Here is a 24,729-nt window from a genome sequence, read left to right on the forward strand (position 1 = left end):
GGAGAAGATAATAAAGGATAATAAAGAATAAAGAGACAGAGGAGCTGAGGGAGGAGGATAAATTTCAGCAGTCTTTAATTCAGAATTTTTTAAGACAACTTTTTGTTCTCTTGTAAAGAAATAACTTTATTATAACCTCTTTAGAAGCTTCCAAGCCTCATTGAAAATAACTCTCCCAATTATTTTGTTTTATCTTATAGCTGACTTTTTCTCATTGAGCACACAATTAAATTAGTTTAGGCATTTCAAAGGTACTACATTTTGTCCATTGCAAATGTTAGGATTTTCTTGGGTCAAGTAAGACCATTTTTCCAAATATTGACAGGAGGTGGTGCCATAAGTATTGTACATAAATCCAGCTGGAGTTTCTAAAGATGGATTCTTTCTTAAAGAGGACTCAGTTTTAGATGGAAGATGGACCATAATTTGGATTTTCTTTTTAAGTGACCAAAGACTCAAAGAGAAAGATGTCTTATTTTTTAATTTTTAAATTTTATTTATATGTTTATTTTGAGATGAAGTCTCTCTCTGTCACCCAGGCTGGAGTACAGTTGCGCTATCTCAGCTCACTGCAACCTCCGCCTTCCAGGTTGAAATGATTCTCCTGCCTCAGCCTCCCAAGTAGCTGGGATTACAGGTGCCCACCACTATACCTTGCTAATTTTTGTATTTTTAGTAGAGGCAGGGTTTCACCACGATGGCCAGGCTAGTATCAAACTCCTCATGTTGGGCTCCTTCCCCCTCGGCATCCCAAAATGCTGGCATTACAGGCGTGAGCCACCGTGCCCAGCTGGGAAAGATGTTTTGGATCTGGTATTCTGCTTAACAGGGATTACTCCTCGAGGTGTCACCCATGAGTCACTTCTACTCTCTTATGTGTTTCAGTGAAACCCAGACATTTCTGGAGGCTTAGGGCCCTGGGATACCAACCCTTCATGTATGCCCAACAGGTTAATCAGATTTCCCTGTATGTTCTTCCTTGGGGTTTCCCTGTAGGACCCTTACACAGCAGAAGCTATGACCTCTGACAGTCCTGTGTGGCCTCAGTTACCTAAGGTGCCTTTCAGCTGGGAGGAACAGTGGCCGTTATTTAGGACTTTCTCAGGTCAAGTAAATCACATCCTCAGACAAAGCCTTTAATGAATTTTTGGTCACTCAGAAAGAAAATCTAAATGGCAATTTTAACCCAGCTCCAAAACCTGGTCAGTTTAAAACTGCACATTTAGCTTAAGCCACAAGCATTCACTTTCTCTTTTTAAAAAGAAACTGCTTTCTATTTAACCAATTTTTTTTGAGACAGAATCTCACTCTGTCACCCAGGCTGGACAGTGGAGTACAGTGTGTCAGCTCCCTGCAATCTCCACCTACTGGGTTCATGCAATTCTCGTACCTCAGCCTCCCAAGTAGCAGGGACCACAGACATGCACCATCACGTTCAGCTAATGCTTTGTATTTTTAGTAGAGATTGGGTTTCACCATGTTGGCCAAGCTGGTCTTCAACTCCTGGCCTCAAGTGATCCAACCGCCTCAGCCTCCCAAAGTGCTGGGATTACAGGTGTGAGCCACTGCACCCAGCCCCAAATTTTGAATGGGAGAAAAGTTGCAAACTTTAGCAAGCAAAACAGACAAAATCTTAACCTCAAAAGAAAGTGAAACTACAAACTTGCAAATAACAGAATCTCTAGAGAAATAACAATAAAGTGACTACCTCAAAGCCAAAAGTTGAGCTTCAGTTCTAGCTCTGTTGAGTGTGGAATTGGGTTGCTTGAATAAAGTCTGAATCTCAGCCAGAACTAGGAAGATATGAAACCTGAGAGAAGTCTTACCAGAGACCCCCGCCAGCTCTGATGAGGTCAGACGAGTAAAAGCCACTCATGCTGGTACTAAATCTCCGAATGCCAGCAAAGCAACGAGGATCGCACGAGGCTTGTTTCAGGTCCTATCTGCAGTTGCCAAAATGTCAACTTAAAATAATCAAAAGGATCAGAGTCTAATTTAAAGAGAGTTTATTCAAATACAAAGTTTGAGGATGGCCCACTCAGGAGCATCAACTGCGAAGAGATGGAGGCAGTGTTCTGAAGTAGAGAAATTAGGGTTTCATTTATAGATGCAGAGACAGAGATGTTTTTAGCAGGATTACAACATTTTTCATATGAAGTTGGCACATACTTCCAGCAATTTGATTGATGATAGGCAATGCATCCTTTTTGGAAAGGGTACATTTAGCATTTTGAATATAATGGGTGTAACAGTCATGGGTTTTCTGTCATCTGGTTTAGGCAAAGTAGGACAACAAAGGGGAAGTTAATCTATAACAAGAGTCATTAATTAAGAAGGCAGGAGGCTTTTGTCCCTGATATAATTTAATTCTCTCTAGTCATTGTACAGAACAAAAAAATAAGAAAACAAGTTAATCTATAATCTGAGAAACAGAAGTTGGAACCATATGTGACTAAGATCACATTCACATTTCTCTTAAGGTTTGAAGTGGGTTTTTTTGGGTTCCAACAGCTTTTAAATTATATTTATTTTCACACAAGAAAGCAGGAGGGATGGGACCAGAAACTGCCTTTCAGTGCTATTTCATTTTTAAAGAATGTGCTTGCATCAAGTAGATCACAAATTAAAACCACAACAAACCCAGAAACTCCCTTGTCCTGACAGGAGTTCTCATGCATCAATCTCATCATGTGGTGACTCGCCCCTGTCCCCTGCTGGGGACACAGAGTCCTTGGCGGGGGCGCATGTCTCTTCACACTCGTGTGAAATCGTAGGCTTCTGGTCCTTGGGGAGAAGCTGTGAAGTTTTTGCTACCAGAACTAGGATTCTAGGAGGCTTTTAGATGACCAGGAAGAGGCTGAGACTCCTGGTGGGGACTCCTGCTGGGAAGTTTCTGGACCACAGCCCTCTTGGTATGAAGAGAGCAGAGGACAGGACCAGGCTAGAGCATCTGCACTCTGGAGCTGGAAATGGGGCCCAGCTCTGGGCCTCCACTCTCAGTGTCAAATGTAGGGGCAGCCCCAAGCATTGGAAGTCGCCCTGCACCCTGGCAGCTGCTTCTTGGGCTCTGTCTCCCATGCCGTGCTCTCTGCCCCAACCTCCTAGGAAGGCCCAGCAGCTTCCCACCAGGCCTTCAGCAAAGACTGCTCCTGTCCCTCCAGTGAAACACTGCCCCAAAAGTCACTTGCCCACTCAGGCTGTGCCGTGGGGGCAGCTGCCACACTCTGGGGTTCCTTGGTCTCCCAAGGAGTCCCCACCCTCACAGAGTGTTGGTCAGCTCTTCTGGCTCTGAGGAATTGCAGTTTACCTAAGGAAATGGGAAGGCCAGAGTTGCAGCCAGGTGCCGGGGCTTAGGGGTCTGGATGGACAGGTGAGGCCTCAAGGACCAGGTAGTTCTTTCAGACTCAGGCTGGCTTGGGGGACCCAGGCAGAGTGAACAACCAGGCCTGCAGGGGGCCAGGGACTTGGTGCAGGGCAGAGCCTAGGAAGGAGCAGCTCATAAAACCCCCAGGCAGTTCCTGGGGAGAGCCAGAGGACTCTATCCCCACCGTTGCTGCCCTAATCATGGCTTTGAACACCCCTCATCTCATTGCTCATAGCTCTTAACTTTTTCTGTGCCAGGAACCCCTTTGGAGTCCTGTGCAGCCTATAGAGTCCTTTTTAGAGGTGCTCTTATTTTATTATATTTTTAAATCTTTTTATTGAGACAAGGTCTTGCTCTGTCACCCAGGCTAGGTTGCATTGGTGCATTGGCATGATCACGACTCACTGCAGCCTCAACCTCTCAGGCTTGAGCAATCCTCCCATCTCAGCCTCCCAAGTAGCTGAGACCACAGGCATGTGCCACTATACCCAGATAATTTTCTGTAGAGATGGGGTCTCACTATGTTGCCCAGGCTGGTCTCGAACTCCTGGCCTCAAGTAATCTTCTCACCTCAGCTTCTCAAAGTGCTGGAATTGCAGGCATGTGCCACTGCACCCAACCCCAGAAGTGCTCTTTTTTTTTTTTTTTTTTTGAACTAGAGTTTTGCTCTGTTGCCCAGGCTGGGGGCAATGGCGCAATCTCGGCTCACTGCAACCTCTGCCTCCCAGGTTCCAGCAATTCTCCTGCCTCAGCCTCCCTGGTAGCTGGGATTACAAGCATGCGCCACCACACCTGCCTTAATTTTTGTATTTTTAGTAGAGACAGGGTTTCACCATGTTGGCTAGGCTGGTCTTGAACTCCTGACCTCAGGTGATCTGCCCACCTTGGCCTCCCAAGGTGCTGGGATTACAAGAGTGAGCCTCCGCGCTGGGCCTAGGAGTGCTTTTAATGCGTAAGATAAAATACATAGGATTGTAAAGTAAGCCAGTGACATTAAACTGTTGTTACCAAAATATTAAACAATAAATTTGTAATCAGGTAAACTATGTGCTTCTTCATTTAATGAACCAACCACAGAATCTGGCGGCAGGTCTACGCAGGATTGTGATTTTGATGTAGTGATGAACAAAACCAATATTGCAAGTTATCTGCAGCAACTCTGCTGTCATATAGAAGGAGTGATGATTCCCAATGGTCACAAAGCCCCAGGAAGACTACTGTGGGGGTTTTGCCCTTGTTCATAATGGAGGGAAAACCTACATTTCAGCTAGAGGTTACTGCCCTGAATTCTACCCACAGACCCCAGGCCTCCTGGCCCCTCCTATCTCATAGCTTCAGCTCTTATGCCTGTCTGCCCTCGGCACCAGGTGCCTGGATCCTTCATCACCACTGCTTCCCCACACTCTTCAGAGGCTTAGGTCCTGGCAGAGGCCTGAATCCAGCTTGGGCCCCCACCCTGCAGGTCGTAGAAGAGGGGAGAGTTTGCTCCCTGGCCCAGCCACAAAATAACAACAACATCCAGAGCAGAGATGGAGCTAGGAGCCGGGGGAGCTGGAGCGAATGAGGCGGAGGAATGGGAAACACATGTGGATCCATGTAGGTATGTGGCTGAGGCTGGCTATGGCTTTGTGTTACACTGCATTTTTAAAAAATCCCAGTGTTTAGGCTATATCCCAGGCCAACTAAATCGGAGTCTCTGGGGGTGGGCTATCATTAATAATCCAGGCGGCATAACTTTTTTAATTCCCAGGTAATCATCTGGGGGGTGTGCTGTGCAAACATGGAAGCCCCATGGGCACCAGGATGTTGCCTGTCCTGCCTCAGCAGCCCCTGTAAGATTGGAGCCTGGATTCTGGGTGAGGCATAAGCTGAGTACTCTGCATGCCTTCTTATGAAGCCACTCGGAAGCCCTGAGAGGCAGGTATTAGTATCTCCATTCTACGGGTGAGGAAACTGAATCTTGGAGCTGTGTGGTTCCTTGTCACTTCCCAGTTCCCTGTAGCAAATATTGGCAAGGCTGGGATGCCCACCGAGGTTGACCTGATCGTGTTGGGCCTGATGGGAGATGGAATTTACACTGTTTTTACAGCTTGGGGAGTTTGCTTGCAGTGCTGACATGTCTACAGTCACAAATTCGAATGCAGAGTTTTCTTTTTTTCTTTTTTTTTTTTTTTTTGAGACAGAGTCTCACTCTGTCGCCCAGGCTGGAGTGCAGTGACTTGATCTTGGCTCACTGCAACCTCTGCCTCCTGGGTTCAAGCAATTCTCTGGCCTCAGCCTCCCAAGTAGCTAGGACTAGAGGTGCCACCACCATGCCCGGCTAATTTTTGTATTTTTAGTAGAGACAGGGTTTTGCCATGTTGGCAAGGCTGGTCTCAAATTCCTGACCTCAGGCAATCCACTCACCTCAGCCTCCCAAAGTGTTGGGATTACAGGCGTGAGCCACCGCATCTGGCCCAAATGCAGGGTTTTCATTCAGACTCTTGTGGTGCCACTCATGCACTGCTGAGATCAGCGAGGGGTTGTGGGGCAGTCACAGAACAGACCCAGAGACACATCTCTATGCCTGAATGGGTCTTCACTAAGAACATCTCTGATGTTTCCTGTAGATTTCCATCCTGCTTCATTTGTCTTTTACACTTCTCCTCTCTGCGAGGTCAGAAATTGCCTTGGGCTATCGTAAATCAAAGTGGGTGACTCTATCCCTCAGACAAATGCCCCACTTTGTAGGGAATGACTCAGACACTTGATTATGATCAGCTATAATATTTTGAGAAAGAAAAGTGCGGTTCCAACAAGTTACCAAAAGGGCAGGAAAGTATATAATCCATGGGTCTCTGTGCCTCTCTCTGTGTACCCCAAATTAGAGGGCTCTGTGTGCAAACAAGGACATGTCAAAGGTGCTAAGGAAAGAATTTCTTTTTAAAAATCCAGTAGCAAGCTCTCGATTTCTGCTGGGTGTGCCCAAAGCATGTGAAATACAGGACCACCCACTGGCTGGGGTTTTTTTTTACATCCAAATGCCTCTCTCGGGAGTAGTAAATTTTCACATAAAAGTTTGTTCTTTTAGCCTTCCTCATGTTTTCCTCAGCCATTCTGTTTCCTAATTCCTCTCTCTCACCTGATCCCCTCAAAAGAAGCCTCCAGCAAAAGGAGGAACAGGCCATTCTGGGGCATGGCTGTGTCACCCCTCTCCATTCTACATTAGGCTCGCCTTGGGTGGCCATGGTGTCTTAGGCAAACCGGAGTGTGGCTCAGTGCTGTAGGAGTTTAATGAATGCACGGCACTCAGATGGGTATGACGTTGGAGCCCCCCAGACTGGACTCGCTGAGATGATACATGCAAACTTGGCAGGCCGGGCACTGGGGACAGCCCTGAGCCTCCGGGATCAGCACCCCAGGCCAGGAGATGTGGGTGCCATCAGCGAGAAATCAGGTGGTAGCACAGGTACTCCCGTCAGGACAGGAAATGGCCTCTCCATGCTGTGCAGACTCTATCCATCATCAGCCCTCCTTGGAGCCGTGGCTCTGTCCCTGCTGGTTTCCTTTGGCCAGTATAGGCTGCACAGGGGGGAACGCAGTGGGAGCACTCCTGAGTGGGAGTGAGGGGAGGGAGGAGCCATGGAGAGCAGGGTGGGCCACGGGGACTGACAAGACCTCAGAACATTAGCAGGGCTACTGGGTCATTTGGCTGGCTCCCAGCGGGCAGGCCCACACTTAGGAGGCGGGGGTGGTGTCCCCAGGCCAGGGGCAGGTAAAAGGGCAGAGCTGCACCTGGGGTTCTATGGTATAAGGCAGCAGAAAAGTAAGAGTTTTCCAAGTTTCTGTGTTTTTAACTCCTCCCCTCAAGCCATAGGGAAGAGTGTCCCATCCCGAAAGGGTTGGCCAGCTTCCAGAGGAGGGAGGGAGGCCCCAAGTGAGCTCCTGGCCAGATGCCTACAGGACTATGCTTGCTAAGACATTTAATATTCCCCTGGTAACAGCTCCTGGGCGTTTCCTAGGAGTCTCTGAATAACCAGATAGCCTCTTCCAGCCCCGGGATGAGGAAACCAATCCCCAGAAGTGGACAGGATGGGCATGGCATGGGAGGGGCATAGCAGTGTTGCTTGCTGGGCTGGGCTGGGCTGGGCCAGAGGGCAGGGAGCCCTGTCTACTCTCTGGACAGTCAGTGCTGTGGCCAGAAATACAGAAATGCAGGGGCCAGGAGCCTCCAGGGCACCTAGCTTTTCTATCAGCTCTTCTTGCAAAGGCTTTCAGAAAATATCTACAGGGGACAGGAATAATGGGGCCCATAGGCCCATAAGTAAAGTCAGCATCCGTCGGGGGTTGTGGGCAGTGGCAGGACAGCTGGTTGATTCCAGTCCCCCAGAGCATGGTTATGCGTCTGCCAAGGGCCCACTACTGAATCGTTTCTAAATAGCATACTTCCTGTCCCTGCTGCCCTGGCCTGGACCTCGACCCTCTCTGCAGCCCCAGGGCAGCTCTCGGGCCTCCTGCTCTTGTGGCCCTGCTACTCCCCTGAGGATGAGGGGCTAGAAAGCTTTTCCCACCTCCAGCCATGCCAGCGAGGTGTGAAGAGCAGGCGGCAGTCAGTGCGGAGGTGTGGGCCAGGGCGACACGTACTACTGTGCACACTCAGCCCTCTGCGTCTCCCTGGAGCAACGAGGGGCAGAGCAGAGGTGATGGGCCATAGACTCCTAGGCCAGGCTGAGCAGAAGGGTGGCTCAGGCTGATCCAGAGCCTGGCCAGGCAGAGAGCCGCCAAATGCTGCCCAGCCAAGAGCCCCTGTGGGTTACATGGGAGGGCTGACCTACAGGCCATGGGCCGGGGACACACCATCTACTGGCTACGGTGGCAGATGGGGGTGGGTGGAAGGAAGGACATCACGTCTGCAGTGACAGCTGTCGTGTGCTCCATCAACCTTGCCCTGCTCTGCTCTCTGTTGCGGGAAACACATCTCCCCAGTTTCCTTCCCAGGCTTGTGGGTAGGCCTGACCATGGTGGGGCTCCTGCAGAAGATGGGAGGCCAGAGCGGGCAGTGAGGGCCCCATGCCCCTGCTCTGCTCACCGCACACCTCTCCAGCAGCCAGCCATGCCTCCTCATGAGTGCCCTGCTTTGGTGGCACCCAGCTGGAGAGGCCCAGCCCCTGGAATCACAGCAGCCCCTTCCTCCTGTGGTCCTTCCAGCCTTGGCCACAGCAGTGCGCTCCACTGGCGCTAATCTCTGGGGTGCCTCAGTGTCCCCTCAGATCGGCTCTTCCACCACCTGTTACCAACCACCGAAGTCCTCCCAAGCATCTACACCATCACCTCTCCCATTTAACATGAGGATAGACACACCTCGTGCGTCCACACCTGAGTCACAGGTCTGGGAAGTCTGAGTTTCTAACAAGCTGCAGGAGGGGTGCACATCAGCAGCCAGTCCTCCAGCCACACTTTGAGAAGCAAGGACCAGGGAGATTTTGGATTTCCTGATACAATGTGTCAGGTGCTCTACTAGGCAGTGGGTCTCAAAGGTGAACAAATCCGACCTGTTTGCATTCCAAGGAGGGAGACAGACATGGTCAGATGACAATCACTGCAAATGACACTATCACTATCCATAGATGCTCCGAGGGATGGACAGGAGGAGGTGAACAGCTGGGCCCTTGGCAGTCTGGGGGAGGTGGTATTTGAGTTGAGACCCAGAGCAGGGGACAGGCGAAGGTTTCAGGAGCAGTGTGTGAGCAGAGGCTGGGTGACCAGAGGAGCTGTGTGCCTTCGGTGGTCTGAAAGGAGGCCAGCCTGGTCTCCAGGCACGGAGTTAGGCAGATTCAGTGGCTCCTCCTCTCTCAGCAAGAGAAGACTCACCTGAACTCAGCTCCCCAAGGTATCAGGCCTCCTCCTCCCGCAAGGCCTAATCCAGCTAATCCAGCCTAATCCAGCAAGGTCTCCAGGTGCTGGCAGCTGGAGCTCTCAGACACCTCCCCAATCAGCTGGCAGTCACACCCAGACTGCCTGGCGCCTGAGCTCGGCTGCTTGTCCCACAAACAAGGCTACTCTGAAGCATGCATGGAAAAGGGGTAGGAGCAAGGGCAGGTCCCTGGGGACACTGAGTCCCATGCAGTGACAGCAGCCTTGCCCATGCACGCATAGAGGAAATGGCGTGCCTCTTCTTGCTGAGCCTCGGTGTACGTGCTTCCCCCTAAAGCCCACTTCTTATCCCCACATACCAGGTGATGTAGTACCTCCCTCCACCCGCCTCGCCACGTTTGGGCTCTGTCTCTGTCTTAAGAGCTGTGGAAGCCACCAAAGGGTTAAGTGTGGGATTATGTGGAATTTGTGTTTCCACCTGCCTTTAGGGCTGCAGCAGGAAGCAATGGCTGGAAGGGAGGAACCAGAGCAAAGTGGGGCCACGGAAGGGGAGATGTGGCTGGCTACCTTAGCCCCACTATCAGTGCAGAGGTCCCTGGGACCATCGGCAAACCCGGCACCAAGCACTGAGGTCAGCCTGCCCCCGGGAATGGCACCGGGGGAGGAGGAGATGCCCAGGACAGTCTCCAAGGGAGTGGGCACCAGCCAGAGTTGGGACTGGGAGGACTCTGAGGACCCCTTCCACACTTTTCCCTGCGTTGAGATTCTTGGATGGCACAGGCCCATGAGACCATCAACAATCCCAGGTCTCAAGAGGCCGGGCCCCACCCTGAGCCAAGCTTGCAGAGGAGGAGGAGAAGTGCTGAGGGAAGGTGAGCACAGCCAGGCACCCAGGAAGACAGGAGCCACCTGGTCGGAGGGGAGTGATGGAAGGTCAGGGTTCCCACCCATCAGACCACAGCTTCCAGCCAGGACAGCTTGGGCAGCAGTAGTCATAGGAGACATCTGGAGGCTGAGGCTTCCCACGCGGCCCTCCTGGCTCCATTGGATGGCAGGCTCCGGGCAGACGAGCTGCCAGGTGGGTGTGGGATGCAAAGGTTTGGAGCAAGAGCGCCATGGGGAGCCTCCCCAGTGGGACAGAAGCACAGGAGTGAGGGGGTTGGGCCCTGAGGAGATCTCAGTGTCACCCGCAACGGCTGCAGTGCACGGCCCATGGAGAAAGGACATTGTCAGGTGAGACGTGGGCTTCCAAAGGCCCCAGGCTGGGGGTTCCGAGTCCTCTGATCTTTCCCTGAGGTGCTCCTTTGAGGCCTGTGGCACCCTGGGTATGTGGATTCCCGCCTCATGTGTCCACCTGACAAGCACTTCTCCCCTGGACTCCTGTGCCTGCTCCATCACCTGCACCCTCTCTTAATTAGCAGGTTGGAGAGTGGGGTCCACATTGAATGGGACGTTGTGTTGACTCAGAATTGCTCCCAGCTGTGAGGAATTGTTAAACCCCTACATTAAAACGCAAGCAGCTGGCATTGAGCCTAGGGACAGAAAGAAAAGCCGGCCCCTCAGCCTCACCCTGCCCCCAGGGTGGCCTCTGTGAGCCAAAGCCCTGAAGTGGAAGAGCCTCAGGAGGAAGGCAGTCTGAGCCATGGGCTGGCAGCTGCAGGAAGTACAGCTCCCGCTCCCAGTGAGGCTGCTCCCACTTCTCCTGCTCAAACCTGGGGCTCCAGGAGAACTGTTTGTAAAGACTGGGGGAACTTCTGGAAGAGGAGTGATATCTCTGTCCACTCCAGGGCTCCAACACTCCCAGCACTGTGCCAGGACATGGCCCCCACTTAGGATGACCGCTGCCCGGTCGGGCTCCCCTAAACGCAGCCTCTGTGGCAGGCCTAGCCCGAGCAGCCCTCCCTGGAAGCCGTGTGTTCAGCTTCCCTTCTCTCCAGCTCCTGCTGCCTCCTCTAAGACAGGGCAAGGGGCAGGCCCGGGGTCCCCTCCACTTCTGACATCCAGTCAACTTGGATCAGGCCTGCAGGCCTGGGTGAGTTCCTGGGACTCTCCCAATAAGGTTTTAAAAAATCTTTATACTTTAAAAATTTCTGCCGGGCCCAGTGGCTCACGCCTGTAATCCTGGCACTTTGGGAAGCCGAGGTGGGTGGATCACCTGAGGTCAGGAGTTCGAGACTAGCCTGGCCAACATGGTGAACTCCTGCCTCTGCTAAATATACAAAAATTAGCCAGGTGTGGTGGCGAGTGCCTGTAATCCCAGCTACTCGGGAGGCTGAGGCAGGAGAATTGCTTGGACCTGGGAGGCGGAAGTTGCAGTGAGCTGAGATTGCACCATTGCACTCCAGGCTGGGTGACAGAGCAAGACTGTCTCAAAAAAAATAAAAATAAAAAAATAAAACTTTCTTATCAAAAAACAAGCAAAAGCCGCCTCGTGATCTGATCTCACCCTACTGCTACATCCTCCTTGTGTCTCCATCTGTGAAAGGGTGACCAGCCTTGGTTCTATGCAGGGTGACTGTGAAAATGCCATGGCTCATGGGGGCCAAACATGGTGGTAGGGCCCACTGTGACAAGGGTGAGGCTGGGCTGCACAGGCTCAGCTGCCCACAAACAGCTCTGGGGGCTCTTGGGATGGCTGAGGCTGCTCTTGATGAGCTCAGGGAAGAAACACAACAGAGACTGGTCAAAGGAGAGGACACAGCCTTCTGCCCAATGTCCAAGAGCCCGAGCCCAGGAATCTCCCTTGAAACACACACTCTCACACACACTCTCACACACACACATGCTCTCACTCACTCACACTCACACACACTCACATGCACACACACTCACACATTGACACCACTGTCAGCTCAGAAATCTCCCTTGAAACACACACACTCACACACATACACATTCACACCACCATCATCCCAGAAATCTCCCTTGAAACACATACACACTCACACACACACACACTCACACACATTCCCAACACCATCCCAGAAATCTTCCTTGAAACACACACACTCACGAACCCTCACACACACACACACACACACGCACACATTCATGACACCATCCCAGAAATCTCCCTTGAAACACATACACACTCACATACACATTTACGCCATCATCCCAGAAGTCTCCTTTGAAACACACACTTTCACACACTCACACACACACACTCACACACACTCACATTCACACCACCATCATCCAGAAATCTCCCTTGAAACACACACACTCACACACACATTCATGCCACCATCATTCCAGAAGTCTCCCTTGAAACACACACACACACACACACACACTCACACATACACATTCACGCCACCATCATCAGACCTTCGTAGATAGACACCCAGAGACCTTGGTCTGAGTGAGCTGGCGGCATGGAGCGACTGAGCATGTGCAGCTCCCACATCGCTATATAAAGATGGGGATGAACTCTGTGGCTGTGAGTCACCATAACTGCGACACTCACTCATTTGCGCTTCACCAGACACAGAGCAACCGCCAGCCCCAAGAGCAGCTCCAGGCTGGATCTGCGCCGGACACAGGAGAAAGCAGCGGGTAGGCTAAGCAGGGGTGCTGAGGATGGAGGAAAGTTGGGAGGCTGAGCACAGCTGAAGTCCTGAGCTCCCTGTGCCCTTGACTTCTCTGTGGGCTCGAGCAAGGACCATCCCAACTCAGGATGAACCCTCCTTCGGGGCCAAGAGTCCCGCCCAGCCCAACCCAAGAGCCCAGCTGCATGGCCACCCCAGCACCACCCAGCTGGTGGGACAGCTCCCAGAGCAGCATCTCCAGCCTGGGCCGGCTTCCATCCATCAGTCCCACAGTAAGCCTGGGCGAGCATGTGCATGCACAGAGCCTTCCCTGACCCCTTCCTGGTCCCCTCCTGGCCACACACAGGGGCTTTGACAGGGAGATAGAAAAGGTCTGAACTCTGCTGTGGGGCCTTGAGCCATTACTGGACCTCTCTGAGCCCGCCCCTGATAAACAGGCTGATAGAGGAGGGTGCAGGCAATGTCCTTCCTCATGGAGAGCATTCAAGGAACAGAAATGCCAGCCCTGAGGACAAGGGGCTGGAATGGCCAGACCTGTCCTTGGCTGCACTCATTCCTTTCAGAGGTTGCTCGGATGCCCCATGGAGCCCTCCAGGGAGGAGGGCACACCCTGGGCCTCTGGATCTGCCAAGCCCACAGTGAAGCCTTGGGTGCCTTCTGCCACCTCCATCATCCTAGCCCAGGCCCAGGGCCATATTCCATCAACACCACTGCTACCTGGGGAAGGCCGAGGGCACCCTCAGGACCTGGGGATGCTGGCCCAGGTGCTGGACAGGATGGGAAGGCTCCGGTAGCTATAGGGGCCACTGCGGCAGGACAGAGACCAAGCCACCCTCTCTTCCCCAGAAAGGGGTTAGGGTGGGAGGAGTCTTTAAATCCCTTTGTCCTGACCTGATATGGTCATGACCTCCCTTCAGTGACCCTGGGAGGCCTAAGCTTTCTTTCTAAAGGGAATTCCCTTCATTTTCATGCCAGGCATCAAGGTTAGCTGTACCCAGCTATGCTATTGGGCAATGCAGCTTCTCCTCTAAGGCTCAGTAGGGGACGGGACTCTTGAGAGGGGCTCCACCCGACTCACCACCCCAGCGTCTAGAGGCCTCAAAAACTGTCTTGGGCCCTTGGGCTGGAGTCCATACTGCAGGCAGGGATGCACCCAGGAGTTGGCTCTGTCTTCTCCCTAAGGAAAGATAGGGTGACCAGGGCCATGTCCCTGCTTGCCAGTCACATGTCTGTCTGTCCTACCAGCCTCCAGCAGGTGATCTGAGCCCACTCCTAGAAGGCCCCTGTGCCATGTTCTAGGAGCTTGGGCTGGACTTTAGAAAGGACCTGCACTTCCCTTCTGCTTTTGGCCACTTGTGAGCTGTGTGTGCAACTGGCTTTGCCACTCTGAGCCTCAGTTTTCCCACCTGCCCTGTTGAGAATCCTAACTCTTCCTTCTCAGGACTATTTGAAGGTGACAAGCGATAACATGATTCCCTCGTTTCTCTGTCTCTCCGCAGGCACCTGGGACTTGGGCTGCTGCCTGGGTCCCCCTCCCCACGGTTGATGTTCCAGACCATGCCCACTATACCCTGGGCACAGTGATCTTGCTGGTGGGACTCACGGGGATGCTGGGCAACCTGACGGTCATCTATACCTTCTGCAGGTGCCTGGTTGGTGGTGCTGGGCCCAGGGCACTGAGGGTGGCAGCCATGCAGACAGGGAAGAAAATGCAGGCAGGAATGTTGACTCTAGCTCTGGCCAGGGCACTGTTGAGGCTAGGCAAGGAGGGCAGGGCCATGCCTTCGATGATCTCAGGCCCAGACCTTCCTGAAGGTCACGGAAAGGGCCAAAAATGGTCCAGGGAGACTTGACTGACTGGCACTAATTGAGACCCAGGTGCATCCTCTGTGGAGGGTGTGTGTGCCCAGAGTATGTGGGTCTCTGACCATTCTGCCCTGCTCTCAGCGCACCTCTCCGTCACCTGCCCCAGAGAGCATCCTCCCCCTGCGTTGAAGAGCAGCTCTAGGCCAGGCGTGGTGGCTCCCGCCTGTAATCCCAGCACTTTGGGAGGCCAAGGCGAGCAGATCACCTGAGATCAGGGTTCGAGACCAGCCTGGCCAATGTGGTGAAACCCCCGTCTCTACTAAAAATACAAAAATTAGCCAGGTGTGGTGGTGTGTGCCTATAATCCAAGCTGCTTGGGAGGCTGAGGCAGGAAAATCGCCTAAACCTGGGAGGCGGAGTTTGCAGTGAACCGAGATCATGCCACTGCACTCTAGCCTGGGCAACAGAACAAGACTCCATCTCAAAAAAAAAAAAAAAAAAAAAAGAGCAGCCCTGGGGACCAGCATCCTCAAGTCCCTCAAACACCCCTGACACCCACCCCCAGTGTCCCTCTCCATCTGCCCCCCTGCCTGGCTCAGTGGCTGAGACAGGCAGGTGGAGAAGGGAACCCAGGCTGCAGGGCCACACAGCCCCCTGGCTCTCCCACCTGCCAGCTGAAGGACTGGGCACGTCATTTCTCCTCCTTGAGCTCACTTTTCTTTCCGCAAAACAGAGCTGTGCTTCGTGGAGTCACTGTGATGATGCAGTAAGTTCACGGATGTGCGTTGCCCCACAGATGAGCCACTTACTGAGTGCTGTGCACCGGAGCAAGTCACTTCATGAGTGGGAGCATCTTGTCTGGAAAATGGGGACAATGACGCCTCCCTCAGGGTAGATGCAAAGATGGATGATGACAGGAGCCGAGGCTGGTGAAAGTGCCTGGCCCGGCCGTGGTGCACAGCCATCAGCTCCTCTGCCCTTGGCCATCCCCAAGCATGAGGATTACAGAGACAGTGTGCAGGGCAGGGTCCAGGCAGGACGTGACACTGGAGGGAGAGTGGGAGGGGGACCCGCGGAGGAGGGAAGCGTGAGAAGCCATGGGAAAGCACAGTCAGGGCACGCAGGAGGAGGAACCTAGGGAGAAACCTCTAGGGAGACCTTGGCCTAGAGGGACTCAAGGAAACCAGTGAATTGGTCAAGGAAATGGTGTGAGTCGTGCAGAGGAATTTAGAGGGCAAGAAGAGGAAACGGACATGACCCAAGAACCGGCCTGCGCTGGGCCACGCCTCAGGTTTTGGAGAGAAACTGCCCCCTGCTTCTCTCTGAGGGAGCCGTCTTGGGGTCCTCACTCAGCAGACACTGCTGGGTTCAACAGCTGCTTGGCTGGTCCCTGCCCGACAGTGGGATAGCTCTGTGGCCCGGCAGCTCGTGCCTGTTTGCTTGCCCATGTGTGTGTGCATGTGTAAGTGTGTGGCACGTGTGTGCACATGCATACCTGAGGGGTGCGGGAAGCTCTCCATAGCTCTGGAGGTGTCAGGAAGCGCCTCCTAACAGCTTCTGATCCTCCCAGGAGCAGAAGCCTCCGGACACCTGCCAACATGTTCATTATCAACCTCGCGGTCAGCGACTTCCTCATGTCCTTCACCCAGGCCCCTGTCTTCTTCACCAGTAGCCTCTATAAGCAGTGGCTCTTTGGGGAGACAGGTAGATGCTGGGGCTCCCTTTTGCTGGAGGGAGGAGGAGGGTTTTGACCTGGGGATGCCCTCAATGGAGGGTGGCCCAAAGGAGGTGATTTGCTGCTTCTGGGCAGAGAGTGGGTAGCTGCCCTCAGTCCTGTGAGTAAGCAAGAAGGGAAGATGCAGTGTTGGTCCTAAGGCCTCTGCCAGCCTTGGCCAGATGTGGCAGGTGGAGGGGGTGGAGTGCGCTCAGTCCTGCTCTTCCTGTGAGGTGAAGGCCAGAGCAGAGTCTACCCTGTCCCCAGACCCTCCTCCCCAGGACTCAGAGCAGGGGCTGTGCCCACAGGCTGCGAGTTCTATGCCTTCTGTGGAGCTCTCTTTGGCATTTCCTCCATGATCACCCTGACGGCCATCGCCCTGGACCGCTACCTGGTAATCACACGCCCGCTGGCCACCTTTGGTGTGGCGTCCAAGAGGCGTGCGGCATTTGTCCTGCTGGGCGTTTGGCTCTATGCCCTGGCCTGGAGTCTGCCACCCTTCTTCGGCTGGAGTAAGTGGGCTGCTGGAACTGGAAGGGGGGCAGATGGGCTGGGAGGGGCACATTCAAGGGGAAGTAGGTGGACTTGGGTCAGCCAGCTGGCGGGAGCAGGGTGCCCAGGAGCTACCTGAGCCTCAGGTGAGATGGACATTCAGGGGACATGACTGGCAGCAAGGGAAACTGACACTGCCCCATCAGGGGCCAAAGGATCTCCTGGGCAACTGATCCCAAAATACAAAGGCTTTCTGGGCGGGGCAAAGTGACAGGTACTTCTGATGCTGTGTCAGACTAGGCAGGGGGCTGGGGTGTGAGGACTCTGAAGGTGGAACGGTGGAGAGCAAGGTAGTAGCCCTCCTGGGGTAAGACCAGGCCTCTGGCTGAAGCCCTGGCAAGCAAAACCTTGAAGTTATGGTGAGCTTTCTGCTCAAATCTAGCAGGAATGGGAGGCAGTGGGCTTTGCAGGCCATCCCAGTTCCCTCCAGCTTCCTCACTGCATGGGACAGGGCCAGGTCAGGGCCAGGGCTGTGTATGGGGACCCGAATGCCACATACAAAGCTCCTGCCAGATAAGGAGCCGTGGTCAGTGCCGCCCCAAAGGCTGAGCACCTGCCCTGGCTCCCAGGCGCCTACGTGCCCGAGGGGTTGCTGACATCCTGCTCCTGGGACTACATGAGCTTCACGCCGGCCGTGCGTGCCTACACCATGCTTCTCTGCTGCTTCGTGTTCTTCCTCCCTCTGCTTATCATCATCTACTGCTACATCTTCATCTTCAGGGCCATCCGGGAGACAGGACGGTAAGAGCCGAGCATGGAGGGGGGCTACAGGAGGGGGACCGGCCCCTCGGCCAGGCGGCCCCTGCCCCACCACTCACACCTGCACCAGCCTACCAGAGCATGACCAGTGGGTGAAGGCAAGCTGAGCAAGTGCTTATGGGGCAGCAGTGTCTAGGGGAGCCTCAGGAGACAAGGGCTTCTGGGGCGGGCTTTTCGGCATGGCAGAGGGAGGAGAGAAGGCACACAGAATCAAGAGGGAGTAGGGGGCAGCTGAGACCTCATGTCACAGAAAACTTTCTGGAAGTCAGGGCTGCCTGCACTGGAAGGAATGACACTCTCACGAGTGCCCTGCAAGGATAGTCCAGAGAGGCTCCCCAACAGCAGCCGTGACCCTGGTGCTGACTGCCACCCGACTAGGGTCAGACCTGGACGATGCGTCCTTCCTAGGGCTCTCCAGACCTTCGGGGCCTGCAAGGGCAATGGCGAGTCCCTGTGGCAGCGGCAGCGGCTGCAGAGCGAGTGCAAGATGGCCAAGATCATGCTGCTGGTCATCCTCCTCTTCGTGCTCTCCTGGGCTCCCTATTCCGCTGTGGCCCTGGTGGCCTTTGCTGGGTAAGCAGTGGCTAAAGGGTTGGGGAAGAGGCTGAAGGTGTGGGGGCAGGAGCAAGAAGCCTGGCCAGCCTCTCCTTCCCAGCCCAACCCCGGCCAGCCATCCTCGCACCCTAGGACCAGCTTCACAGCTTATTCTCTCCCTGGGTAAGGTGCCCAGCCCCGGGGTGGGTGGGGGGCCACCTAGTTCCTGGAAGCACCAGGGCACATGCAGAGGAGCTCTGGGCCCCACAAAGCTTTGGGCGGACGGCCTGCCAGCCCCCTTTGGAACACACAGTTCCTCTTGAGGTCTCCTCCCTCTCTGCATGGGCTGTGGTTACATGACCAGAGGTGCTGCCCATCTCCAGGAATGGGTCCCTGAGAGCTGCCCTTCTAGCCCTTTGTGGCTAGAGTCTGGGGATTGTGACATCTGCAGCAGCACAGATGCATGCTCAACTTCAGAAGTGTTTTTGAGAAGTGAGGGCTATTAAACCCTGGAAGTGTTTAGATAGGAGACCTTCTTGTGGAGGAATGGCCTGGTCCCCCCAGGGCCCTACTGTGGGGTTTCTCTACAATAGCCAGGGCAAGAGAGGGCATCACGGTTGGGGTGGGGTGTGAGAAGAGCTAGGCAGAGGGTGCAAGGGCCAGAGTCAATGGGGGGAAGTGGGATATCGCCAGCAGCACAGGCTCCAAGGAACAGTGGACCTGGGAACCTCCACCCCAAATTCGGCACATCTTCCTTCCAGAGCTGCACCCTCAACCACCCACTGCTCCCTCCTACTCACTCAGATCAGAATTCTCCTGGCATAGGCCAGGCATGGTGGCTCACGCCTGTAATCCCAGCACTTTGGGAGGCCAAGGCAAGTGGATTACCTGAGGTCAGGAGTTCGAGATTAGCCTGGCCAAAATGGTGAAACCCCGTCTCTACTAAAAATACAAAAATTAGCCAGGTGTGGTGACGGGCACCTGTAGTCCCAGCTACTCCGGAGGCTGAGGCAGAAGAATTGCTTGAATTCAGGAAGCAGAGGTTGCAGTGAGCTGAGATCACACCACTGCCACTCCAGCATGGGCGACAGAGCAAAAAAAAAAAAATTATCCTGGCACTGCCAATTCCTCCCTATGGGGCTGACTTAGCTGTGCTGGTTTGGGCTGGATTAGGATTTGGGCTTTGGCAGGGCCTGGCCCAGAAGAGAAGGTGTGTCAGGAGGGCCAGCTAGCTTGGGGACCACACCTTCTCTGTCCTAGGTACGCACACGTCCTGACACCCTACATGAGCTCGGTGCCAGCCGTCATCGCCAAGGCCTCTGCAATCCACAACCCCATCATTTACGCCATCACCCACCCCAAGTACAGGTGTGGCTCTTTTCCAGAACCCCACACCTTGGCCTCCAAGGGCCTGGCCTGCCGATGGGGGCAGAGGCCACCACCTTTCTGTCTCTCGTGTGTGTGTAGAATGGGGGCCACCAGCAGCTGGGAGCGGCCAATGACACTGAGTGGGGTCTGGAGTTGGTGTGCCTCCCTCCCCCGCCCCAGCTTCCCAGGGGTCACGGTGTGGAGGGAGGTCAGGGTTCCCTGGGCAGTGTCCAGTCCTAACTATGGGACCTTCAGACCTGGCGTGTAGGGCAGCCAGGACAGCCCTGTGAATTTAAGCACCCCCCCGCCCCGCCCTCCCCGACAGTGTCATCCTGAAGAAATCACAGCAGGGAGAGCTCAGCTCTGCTCCCAGGGCCTGGCAGGAGCCTGGGGTGGCTCTGGGCCAGTATGCATGCTGATAGCAACCCGGCAAGGCTGCTTCTCCCTTAGTGCTTCCTTTTGCCTGGTGATGTCAGTCACTCACCACCTTCCCAAGGCCAGTGGCAGGCCTGAGCCCGTCCAGCACAGAGGCTGCTCCAGAGTGTCCCTGGTCTCCATTACCAGAGATGTGGCTTGAGCCAGCCACTGAGGGCTGGAACCAACATCCCCAGGCTCTCCCTGCATGCCTACCACCCAGAATCTCTCTGTCCCTCCCACCAGCCTTGTGAGCCTCTCAATCTCCCCACCCAGCATCTGTCTTTCTGTCCTCATCACCTGCCATGGTTCCCAGGGTCTGAGCCTCCCCATTTCCCCAGAGGCTCTCGGTCACCGCACATTAGGCCTGTACCAGCCTGTGCACCCATCCCCTCCCCTGCATCTGTCTGCCCATCCCCTGGCCCTAATCAGATGTGCGGCCCCTGCAGGGTGGCCATTGCCCAGCACCTGCCCTGCCTGGGGGTGCTGCTGGGTGTATCACGCCGGCACAGTCGCCCCTACCCCAGCTACCGCTCCACCCACCGCTCCACGCTGACCAGCCACACCTCCAACCTCAGCTGGATCTCCATACGGAGGCGCCAGGAGTCCCTGGGCTCGGAGAGTGAGGTGGTAAGGATGCTGGGCCCTCACCAGCTTGCGCCTGGCCATCCCTTCCTCAGGCAGCCCTGGGGCTCTGGGGAATACATAGGCCCTGGCAGGGCTGCCTCTGAGACTCAGGGACACTGAGGACGCTGGCACCCTGGCAGGAAGAGCCCCTCCCAACACCCCCATGAAGTTCGTAATCCTCCCTGATAGGCAGGGGCACTAGGGCCAGAGCGGGGATGGTTTGGGGGTTCCCAGGAGCGGGGCCAGGATTGAACACAGGTCTTCCAACTCCAGGCCATCCTTTTCCATGCTGACACTCTCCCTAGAGCCGCAGCCTGAAGAGATCAGCACATCTGGCTCTAGATAGGGCTCCAGAGAGACAAGGCAGGAGTTAGCTTGGAGCTCCTTGCTCCTCAGCATTAAGCCCCCTCCTCCTGGGAGACTTGAAGAGCTCACGGGATGGGCATGGGCCCTGGAGATGGGAGATGTGGCTTTGAGCCTCAGCTTACCATGTGCTCACTGTGGGAGCCTGGGCAGGTCACTTACTCCCTCTGAGGCTCCACGTCCTCCTCTGAAAGGGAAAAGAGGCTTCTCAGATCAACGCTGTCCAGGTGTGCCCAGGGATGGGTGTCAACCTTCCTCGGGGCCAGGTGTGCCCAGGGATGGGTGTCAGCCCTCCTCAGGGCCTGCAGCTCTGCTTCCCCTAGATGTCCCCAGGAAAGCTCCGTGCGCCACCGGCTCCTGTTCCCACCACACTTGGGCTCCTCCTTAATTCTACCTACAGAGCCCTCTATGGGCCTCAGCAAGACTGCCGCCAACTGACCGGCCAGCGATCTCCTCCCACTGCCCACATCCCTGGGGTTCTCGGTTGAGGGACTGAGAGAGGAGCTGTCAGAGGTCCCTCCTGTAAACCACTGTAGTGAATAACAAGGAGAAATCTAATCTGTTATTGGAGGCCTAGACCCTCGTGAAGACCACCCATCTATTCAAAAATATAAATAGCCACTTTCTTAGCAAGGTGTGCCGGTGTGCAGATGGGGAGCAAACCTGCACACACATACACACACCCTAGGACAGGCATGCACAATTTACGGGGTTTATTTGGTGACCGGCAACGGTGCAAATGGTGTCAGGGGCCTCCCGCAATGAATACCTGTTGGGAGGATGAAGGAGGGCCTGGTGGGGTAAGGGCAGGAGCAAAGCTACGGACTGTCCCTCTCACCTCACAGTCACTCTCTCACCTCCCTCAGGGCTGGACACACATGGAGGCAGCAGCTGTGTGGGGAGCTGCCCAGCAAGCAAATGGGCGGTCCCTCTACGGTCAGGGTCTGGAGGACTTGGAAGCCAAGGCACCCCCCAGACCCCAGGGACACGAAGCAGAGACTCCAGGGAAGGTGACTGGGCCCGGTACCTGCCAATCCACAAAGGGGTGGGGGTTAGGGGCCAGTAGCCCAGGGAGAGGCCAGGAAAGAGAGACTTGTTCTCATGGGCAGGGGCGATATCCTCCAGGAATCACCTGCTCCCAGCACCTCCCAGCTTTTCCTTGTCTGCCTGGGGTTCTCTGTGACTCTGAGATGCTCTGAGCAGGGCCTGCATATGGTCTGCACATGTGTGTGTGTGTGTGTGATCATGCAACTCTGACTCTGCATGGTGCTGTTGGCTGTGCTGTGGCATGATAAGAGTACATGTGTGTGTTGATGAGGGTAGGAGGTCTGCAGCCGTCAGAGCATAGCTCGAGCATGTGTGTGGCCATGTGCCCAGCACATGCTCCATCACTGTAGCACCTGGCACATGCTCTGTCACTGTAACACCCAGTGACACGTGACTAAGCATGCCCTAATGTGTCTGCTTTAAGCTGTGCATGTGACTGAGTGTGGGTGGTATGTACCTCTCTGTGTGACTGCGAGGTTGGACATACCTGGGGAGGAAGGGGCTGTAAGCTGTGGATGTGCTCACCATAAATGCCCTAAGATCAGGATGTCACCCGGAATACTTGTGGCTATTAAAAGAAGGCCAGCTGTCGGCCCAAGTGCCTATGGAACGGAATGTTGATGGCGATTAGAGAAGGCCATATTCTGGAACACTGGAAATGTCGTGTGCACAGGCTCCCAAGCAGCCCTTCGCCCCAGCTGACAGCTCCCCATCTGCCCCTCCTGTCACACCCACACAACACCCTCAGCTCAGCTCCTGGGCTCTCTCCAGCTTCCCTAGCTAGTCCAAGGCCAAAGGCACATTCCTGCCTGCCTTTCTTCCTGAGTGCTGTGCCCCTGTGCATCCAAGAACGAAAGCCCTGGGCTGTACCTGCAGTCGGGGAGCCTCAGCCTCCCTCAGCATTCCCCCCGGGGGCCCCGCACCCTGTCCTGGAGCCCAGGCACTGTGCATGCCATAAACGCCAGGACAAAGGCCTGGCAGTGACCCCCAGGCTGGCCAGGCACTGATGAAAGACACAGTGCCTGTCTTGGAGGGATAGGCTCAGGGGGGTTGCTGGGCAGCCATCAACAATCACCAAACACATGTGATAAGCGCTGCCATTGAGGTGTGAGCACGCAGGGTACTGAAAGCAGAGGCAAGTCCCTGAGGTTCCCCAGGAAGATAGAGGTGAAGCAGGGATCTGCAGGCAGCAGGGGTGGGGAGTGGGGGGAGCACTGAGCTGTCCAGGATGAGGATACAGCCTGTGTGACTGTGCAAACACAGGGGCACAGGGGAGGGAGCTCAATATGTCCTGGAACAGGATGTCTCTCTGTGACCCTGGGAGCAGCCAGAGGGACCCTGGGGATTGGCAGTGGGGGACATAGGAGAAGGGAAGAGGAGGCGGAGGTGGTAGGAGCAGTGGGAAGGCCCCATCAGGGACTGGCTTAGGTGTCTCCAGACCTGACCTGGGGACAGGAAGCCCTGGGAGGGGGTTGGTTAGCTTTGCAGGGTGAAGACCAAAGAAGGAAGTGCTGCAGGGCAGGAAAGGGATGACCCATTTAAGGACAGCAGGAGCGGGGGTGATGCCAGAGTCTCCACATGTGGAAGAGAGGAGCGGATTGGATGGTGGGGGTGAGGATGGGTTCAGTTGTGACCCCGGGAGTCAAGAGCCCGGGGAGCATCCCAGGAGATGCTCTGTAGGCAGCGTTAGGCGTTACCAGCTCTTACTCTGGGATGTGGACTCTGGGAAGGCCCATCCCTGACCCAGGACACAACCTGGCCCTTCCATGCAACCTCCCCCACTGCTCGGTGACCCAGTGTGTGGAGGGTCATCGGGAGACTGCCCCCAGTGAACTGCTCCTCAGCTAAACAGATGTGTGCTGTTTGTTTGCAGACCAAGGGGCTGATCCCCAGCCAGGACCCCAGGATGTAGGACGCCCACTGGCTCTCCCTTTCTTCTGAGACACATCCAGCCCCCCCACGTCTCCCTCATATACACAGACCCAGGATTATGCTGTGAGCCTGCAGGCTTTGGAAGTGGCCCTGTCACCCGTGCTGCACGGGATTCACAGCCCCAGCCCCATGGCCCCTCTCCACACCTCAAAACTCCTGCCCCATAACGTCCTCCGCATCCACTTTCCAGCTCAGCAGCCGCACCCGAGGCTCAGCCTGAGGGGTATGTGCCCAGGCCCTCCCACTTCCCGAGTTGTCTGCCTCTCCTCAAATGCTGTGTGCTGCAATTGTCCAGGCGATGACAATGGTGATGGCTCCAGAGAACACACCAGCTATTTATGAGCCTCTGCCCCCAGGCTGGGCCTGTCACTGGCATAGGAAGGCCAGCCCCGCATCTCCCACTGCCAACAGCTGAAGCCGAGCACAGACCTCCCTTTGCACGCTGGAACAGTTACTCACCTGTGGCTTCTTCCCCCAGTGTACCGTTCCACTGTGGCCCACATTCTTGTGCACGCGGGCATTTGCAGGCACGCTCTCGCGTAGTTACCTATCTGAATGCACACCAAGCACATGCGTGCACACTCTGCGTCTGTGATTCATTTCATGTAGTGGTCTAAGCTCCTCCCAGGGCTGTGTGGATCTGACAGGGTATAGGAAAATAAAAAGCGGAGAAGGTGTCTTCAGACAAATATGGTCTCTACGTGTTGGTGCTGCTATGGGAGAGAGAACCAGGGCCTGGCCTCTGATGCCTCCAGCAACTTCACTTCCTCTCCTTCCTCTGTCCCCACTCTTGGGACTCTCACTCTGAGGCCCACCTCAAACTGCAAGGAGTACAGCAGAGAAGG

The 24,729-nt window shown here is 54.9% G+C and overlaps 1 protein-coding gene and 1 long non-coding RNA gene across 5 annotated transcripts, besides 5 other annotated features; one reads left to right on the top strand and one right to left on the bottom strand.

Annotated features, from left to right (window-relative positions):
- Positions 1,327 to 1,566: an enhancer, noted in NCBI's record as "active region_3694". NCBI's record gives its function as "activates an Ori minimal core promoter by ATAC-STARR-seq in GM12878 lymphoblastoid cells {active_cell/tissue: GM12878}" and the evidence as "EXISTENCE:reporter gene assay evidence [ECO:0000049][PMID:35858748]".
- Positions 3,738 to 3,907: an enhancer, noted in NCBI's record as "experimental_17897 CRE fragment used in MPRA reporter constructs". NCBI's record gives its function as "activates a minimal promoter by MPRAs in K562 erythroleukemia cells, with activity observed for both the introgressed and non-introgressed 10:88405467 variant alleles {active_cell/tissue: K562}" and the evidence as "EXISTENCE:reporter gene assay evidence [ECO:0000049][PMID:34662402]".
- Positions 7,571 to 8,257: an enhancer, noted in NCBI's record as "H3K4me1 hESC enhancer chr10:88409215-88409901 (GRCh37/hg19 assembly coordinates)". NCBI's record gives its function as "activates a minimal SCP1, AML or CMV promoter by ChIP-STARR-seq in naive H9 embryonic stem cells {active_cell/tissue: H9 hESC(naive)}" and the evidence as "EXISTENCE:reporter gene assay evidence [ECO:0000049][PMID:30033119]".
- Positions 8,258 to 8,943: an enhancer, noted in NCBI's record as "H3K4me1 hESC enhancer chr10:88409902-88410587 (GRCh37/hg19 assembly coordinates)". NCBI's record gives its function as "activates a minimal SCP1, AML or CMV promoter by ChIP-STARR-seq in naive H9 embryonic stem cells {active_cell/tissue: H9 hESC(naive)}" and the evidence as "EXISTENCE:reporter gene assay evidence [ECO:0000049][PMID:30033119]".
- Positions 9,628 to 10,477: an enhancer, noted in NCBI's record as "H3K4me1 hESC enhancer chr10:88411272-88412121 (GRCh37/hg19 assembly coordinates)". NCBI's record gives its function as "activates a minimal SCP1, AML or CMV promoter by ChIP-STARR-seq in naive H9 embryonic stem cells {active_cell/tissue: H9 hESC(naive)}" and the evidence as "EXISTENCE:reporter gene assay evidence [ECO:0000049][PMID:30033119]".
- Positions 12,660 to 24,573, top strand: OPN4 (opsin 4). Of its 4 annotated transcripts, NM_001030015.3 has the most exons (11): positions 12,660 to 13,040; positions 14,268 to 14,413; positions 15,308 to 15,340; positions 16,145 to 16,278; positions 16,597 to 16,800; positions 17,410 to 17,581; positions 18,008 to 18,172; positions 19,394 to 19,501; positions 20,365 to 20,545; positions 21,772 to 21,915; positions 23,826 to 24,573. In NM_001030015.3, the coding sequence occupies exons 1-11, from the start codon at positions 12,897 to 12,899 to the stop codon at positions 23,862 to 23,864; spliced, it is 1,470 nt and encodes a 489-aa protein (NP_001025186.1). In that variant the 5' UTR covers positions 12,660 to 12,896; the 3' UTR covers positions 23,865 to 24,573. The 4 variants fall into 4 exon arrangements, with proteins under 4 accessions (NP_001025186.1, NP_150598.1, XP_016872444.1 ...); NM_033282.4 differs by lacking the exon at positions 15,308 to 15,340; XM_017016955.2 differs by lacking the exon at positions 23,826 to 24,573 and having other exon boundaries at positions 21,772 to 22,692.
- Positions 16,267 to 24,662, bottom strand: LOC105378409 (uncharacterized). The gene is made up of 3 exons (XR_001747526.2): positions 24,344 to 24,662; positions 21,031 to 21,092; positions 16,267 to 16,407 (listed from the first exon to the last, which is right to left on the bottom strand). It is a non-coding gene; the product is annotated as an uncharacterized LOC105378409 (long non-coding RNA).

Source organism: Homo sapiens, chromosome 10 (assembly GCF_000001405.40).
Source record: "Homo sapiens chromosome 10, GRCh38.p14 Primary Assembly".
NCBI classification, from domain to species: domain Eukaryota; kingdom Metazoa; phylum Chordata; class Mammalia; order Primates; family Hominidae; genus Homo; species Homo sapiens.

Coding starts and splice junctions, on each gene's coding strand:
- OPN4 (XM_017016955.2), top strand. CDS start 12,897: ATGAACCCTCCTTCGGGGCCAAGAGTCCCGCCCAGCCCAACCCAAGAG. Junction 14,414..15,307: donor GTCATCTATACCTTCTGCAG/GTGCCTGGTTGG, acceptor TCCGCAAAACAG/AGCTGTGCTTCGTGGAGTCA. Junction 18,173..19,393: donor GCCCTGGTGGCCTTTGCTGG/GTAAGCAGTGGC, acceptor TCTCTGTCCTAG/GTACGCACACGTCCTGACAC.